This window comes from Homo sapiens, chromosome 8 (assembly GCF_000001405.40).
Source record: "Homo sapiens chromosome 8, GRCh38.p14 Primary Assembly".
Taxonomy (NCBI): domain Eukaryota; kingdom Metazoa; phylum Chordata; class Mammalia; order Primates; family Hominidae; genus Homo; species Homo sapiens.
The window spans coordinates 132,560,051-132,565,742 of NC_000008.11; the positions used below are offsets into that span (position 1 = coordinate 132,560,051).

General features: G+C 47.9%; 1 long non-coding RNA gene across 1 annotated transcript; it reads right to left on the minus strand.

The window, feature by feature from the left end:
* Positions 1-447: 447 nt before the first annotated feature.
* On the minus strand, positions 448-1,429 carry HPYR1 (Helicobacter pylori responsive 1). Its single transcript, NR_026684.1, has one exon. It is a non-coding gene; the product is annotated as a Helicobacter pylori responsive 1 (long non-coding RNA).
* Positions 1,430-5,692: the final 4,263 nt, after the last annotated feature.

The following is a 5,692-nucleotide window of genomic DNA, read 5'->3' on the forward strand; positions in this document are numbered from 1 at the left end:
CGGCAAGAGAGCATGTGCATGGAACAATAAAACCATTAGATTTTTGTGAGACTTATTATCTATCATGAGAACATCACAGGAAAAACCCTCCCCCATGATTCCATTACCTCTCACCAGGTCCCTCCCATGACACATGGGGATTATGGGAGCTACAATTCCAGATGAGATTTGGGTGAGGACACAGCCAAACCATATCACCAGGTGTATCTGGATGTCTCCAGGGAATGGTAGGGCGATTGAGGAAAGACTCACAGGGGTGGGAGAACAAACTGGGATGAAGGAGCATTTAGAGACCCCCAAGACCATCACCGCGTTTGGTAATTTGCTCGGAGGACTCACAGGACATAGCCTATAGTCATACTCATGGCAATAATTTATTACAACTAAAGAATGTAAAGCAAAATCAGCAAAAGGAGTGTGCATGGGGGAAAGCCCAGAGGAAACCAGAGGAAAGCTCCCAAGAGTCTTTTCCCCATGGGGTCACATGGCATATATTCAATTCTTCCAGCAACAAGTCATGCCATGTGTTAAATGCTGTCTACCAGGAATACTTCTTAGAGACTCAGGGCCCAAGGCTTTTATTGTCTGCCTCTACCTGGCACATACCAAAATTCCAGACTCCCAGAAGGGAAAGCAGAAGTTCAACATATACCACATCGTCTGTTTAGGTACTGTGAGCCACGCTTATCAATTCTGGGGAAGGTGGAAACCCTCCCCAAGTCCAAGTTCCCAGATGACGGCCATGCCTGCAGGTCTTTCTAAGCATAGCAGCCTCAGACCTGCTCTGTTAACTCATTTTTGGGGGAGAACTCAACCTGATGAGTGCAGGGGTTGGCTTCAAGAGCTGTACCAGGAACAGACTTTAACCTCCCGAGAAGAGTGGTGGCTCAGAGGATAGTGTGGTGACAATTCCAAAATACGCCTTTAGCAGAACCTGGGGAAACTGGCTGAGTCCTAAGGAGAGATATGGCTTTGCATAGGGTAGCTACTTAAATAAAAATACCACTGCCTTCCTAACTTGGAGGTGAATCCTGGGAATTCAGGAGAAGAGATTGGGCACAGAATGCGTCATTGTCTGACAACGTCCTACAGCTCTGTTGGTTACCCAAGGCAGCTATTGCATGAACAATCTCTAAACAAAATAAGACCACGACTGTTCACAAGAAATGAGGCCAAGCAAAGTTATGTTACCAGAAAGAATATATATGACTGCCATATGGAGTCCAAATCAGGGTTTTTTGGAAAATAATGTTCATGGTATAAGGTGGGTTTTATTTGTATCTCAGAATGGAAGAGTCCTCCCCTCCTCCTGCCCTGTTCTAAGGGGTAGAGCTTACTCTTCCAGATGGCCCCACCTAAACCTAAACCTCACAAGGTCAGCCTGCAGCAAAACAAGATCCTACCTTTCTCTCTGCGGCTCCCAGAATGATGCAATTGACAACGTTTTTAAGACACAGCAGAAGGCTTAGTTTTGATCACTTTTATAGAGAGGTCTGGTACTTCCAAGAAAACGGGACAGCTGGGGTCCTGTTGGGGGAAGAGGATTAAGAAGACAGGGCTTGAGAAAAGAGAGGAATGGAAGCATGGATTATGGAAAGAGTATCAATTGAGGACATCAACTCAAGTCCTAGAGTGCGAGGCTTTGCTTCTGGAATGACAGTGAAGGGGCTGGCAGTTCTTTCACCAGTGGTGTACAAAGTTGGGTCAATTATCGGAGCTTTTTGGAAAGAATACCCAAAGCTTTCTTGGAGATCCAGTATCTGTTTGTACTTTGACGACAGGTGAGAACAATGACAAGGGATCCACACTGTCAGGAATCTCATTATGCACCACTGGCTAGGTGATGGCCACTGACCATCCACAGCTGAAGACACAGGAGAGGGAGACAGTATTCTCACTTCTACCCCAACACCCCCCACTTGCACACAGAACAAAGACCAGGGAAAACATTTTCAATTCATGCAAAAGTAGTCTCTTCTCTAAAGTCTGAGAGCCCTCAAAGAACTGCACTGGGAACTCTTCTATTAATAGTAAAGGATTGCCTGCAATTCCTGGACATGTTGGCATGGCCAGAGCCCAGGGGCATGCATAGTGGTCCAAAGAACAGCAGCAGAGACTGGAGGCTGGAGGGGAGGATGTCCCCAGAAGGTGCTGTCCAATTGAGTAGAGAAACACTGACACTGTGAGAGGTTCCCCAGAAATACATGGGCACACAAGCTGGAGGTCCTTCATCAGCAGATGGGGCTAGAGCCAGAGAAATTTGAATGAAGGCCATGGCAATGATCCCAGATAAACTCACATACTGACACCTTGGAAAATTTGAGTTATATTAGATAGAATTCAAAGATACTACCAGAAAAATAATTAATGAATAGGTAAGTACAATATTACAGTTCAGTGTGGCTTTCAGAGAAATACAGCCAGAGGAAATTAAAATTTTTCTTTTCTATTTTTATCTGCATAACCTAAGGAACACCAAAGAGGATCTAATTCATAATTCTGAACCACTCTTCTAAACTGCCTCTGAGGATCTTTTATTTGGCCTTGCATTGATTTGTAAATATTTTTATCTCCAGAACCCTCCAAAGGAAGGAGAGGCAGGCAGTGATGTAGGTTCTAAAAATGGCCTAGGGGTAAAATTAAACCTGTATCTTCCCCCACCCCCCATCACCCACATCTTTTATTTATACAACAACAGGTGAGGAACCACCTCCTCTTCTTGACACAGGGAACATTGCAATGTCACCTAAGAGCTTCATGGAGGAGGAAGGGCGTTGTGGTGGACTGTATTTTCCAAAGATCTCCCAACAATATCTCTTGTTCCACATGCTCTTTGAGAACCTTGTACTCTCCCCAGCAAGAGGTGGAGACTCTTCTCCCTTTGAACCTGGGCCGGCCTCTGTAATTTCCCTGATGGTTAGGGTATGGCAGAAATGAGCTATGCAACTTCCAAGGCTAGGTTTTTAAAATGCCATACATCTGGCTGGACGTGATGGCTCATGCCTGTAATCCCAGCACTTTGGGAGGCCGAGGCGGGTGGATCATGATGTCAAGAGATCAAGACCATCCTGGCCAACATGATGAAACCCTGTCTCCACTAAAAATACAAAAATTAGCCAGGCTTGGTGCGTGCCTATAGTTCCAGCTACTCGGGAGGCTGAGGCAGGAGAATTGCTTGAACTGGGGAGAGGGATGTTGCAGGGAGTCAAGATCGTGCTACTGCACTCCAGCCTGGTGACAGAGTGAGACTCTGTCGAAAAAAAAAAAAAAAGCCATGCATCCCTTCATTGTCCTCTTGGGGTGCTCACTCTTGGAACCCAACCACTCTGCCCTGCCCTGAGGAAGCCTGGACTAGCTGTCATGGACATGTGTGGCCGTTCTGGCTGTCGGGCCACTTGAAGGCTGGTCAAAAGCATCAGCTGCCAAATGCACAAGTAAAGACATCTCCAGATGATTCCAGCCTCCAGATTCCAAGTCACCCCTGATCTGTGGGTCTTCCAGTCTGAGGCATAAGAGAAAAGTCAAGGTGTCCTCATTGTGCCTGTTGGCATTTCTGACCTACAGAGACCCTGAGCATAATAAACTTGTTGATTTATGTCACTAAATACAGAATGGTTTGTTAGGTAGCAATAGTAACCAGACAGCATTGTTTTTCCTTTGTTGGTGGAGGTGAGCAGAGTAAATAATACGATTCTCTGTAACCCTGGGTCCTGCTGCAGGAAGCTCCTGGCTCATGGTGGCCATGATTTCTCACCTTGATAGCATGAGGACTGGCTCACTTACCCAGTGCAGCTGAAGCAAGATGATAGCTCATTATATCAGACTTCATGTCTCTCTGACAAAAGCTCCACTGGTTTATAATGATTCCAACAATGGACGTTCTTGTCAAGGAAGAGATGTCTTGTGCACTTTGTCTTGCCTTCCCCTCCACCAGCAGGACCTTCACTGTGTCCCTGGGCCCTGGCAGCACTCCCCACTCCTGCCCAAGCCTGAAAGGAGCTCCCCTGGGCCCCTCAGATCCAACACACCACCAGCCTCAGTCCAGGCACACCACCAGCAGGGGGTCAGGGGATATGTCACACTGGCTGTCAGGGATGGTGACAACCTTGGTGCTGTGGGCAGGGTGAGTGCCATGGGAGAGGTGTGGCACATAGCAGGTTGGGGCCCAGATCTGATGTGTTCAGCCTTGCCCTTGGGTAACACTCAAAGGGGGCATTTATATCAAGGAGGGCTGAGGTTGGGGCCACATTGGCACAGCAGATGATGGGGATTAAATGCAGACAGGGTTTGGAGAGGATTGGAGCTGCTTTAGTTGAGGTAACGTGTACAGGAGTTAGTTTCCAATTGAATGTTGAATATAGGAAGCAGTGACAGGGTTTTCTAATCTGGGTGATTGGGAAGTGAATCCATAAAACAAAAGCCAGAAGAGGCAGAATAAGATGAAGTGGCAGAAAAAATGAGGAGGAAGACACTGAACTTTATATGGAATCACGTATAAGACATCCAGGAGAAGAGAGAGGAAGTTTAGGCACAAACTCAAGGCCTAAAATAGAGATTTCAGAGGCATCCACCCAGAGCTGGTGGCAGAAGCCATGAGACTGGGCCCTGGGAGTGGGTGCACATGGAGTAGAGGGTGGAGGGGAGAGGCGACCCTCAGTGACCAGCCTTCATGTGATGACTGGAGGGAGCAGAGTCCTCTGTGGAAGGAACATTAGAACTGGAATCATGGGACCTTTGAAGCGAATCTTCCCTGGCACCTGATATGGTTCCTCGTGCCTCCTAGGTGCTTGGTAAATGTGTGCTGAGTGGAGAGCCCAAGCAGCTGGACAAGCTGCAGCTGATCTCGAATACAAGGAAAACACCAGACCAAATGCAAACAGCAATAATTAGGGAGCAGACGTAGAAGCGAACCGCTAATTTAGCTTGGGTCTGCCACAGAGTGGTAGATACATTGGCCTGACATGCGTCAGTTGCAGATGGGGTAGCACTTTCCATCCAAATGCATCAGGAAAGCTGTGACAGGCTGCAAAGGGTGACAGACACACACCACATGCTGCAAGTCAGCTGTCACATGGGGGGCAGTCTTCCCATGAGCAACGAAGGAGGACATGGCCACTCAAGCCCGGGGGGCTTGAGCCAGACTCACATCTCCTCAGTGGTCACTGTCAGTGGTCTCCCCTGGACATTTGCAGGCCACTCACATGCAGGAGCATGCAGCTGCCAGGCTCATCATGGCAGCCAGGAGGAGAATGCAGACACAAACAGCTGTGTGGGGGATGGTGACCAGGATAGGCATTGATACCACAGGGCCGGTTCACCCTGCTCAAGAAAAGGAAATCAGAAGGAAATCCGAAGGAAAATGCATGGCATGCAGGGTGTTGGGCATCACGCCTGATGAGTTTCTTCGTCGTGAGGACTGGGAGGAGAACTGAAGGCCTCTCCTGCTGCTGGCGGTGCTCACATGGGAGCCATAAGCAAACCAGGCCCCTGGAAGTAAAAAAGGATCAGTGGCAGAGCATGAGAGGGTGGCATGAGGGACTTTGGAAGGAGCAGCCGGAGCGCCAGTTTCTGGAATCACTGCTTATTATCCATGAACTTTTAAGCATGAATGTTAACCTTGTCAGTGTGATCCAAACACAACAGATTTGTCTTCCACTATGCCTTCATCTTTCTTCAGTGGGGGTGGCCCTTT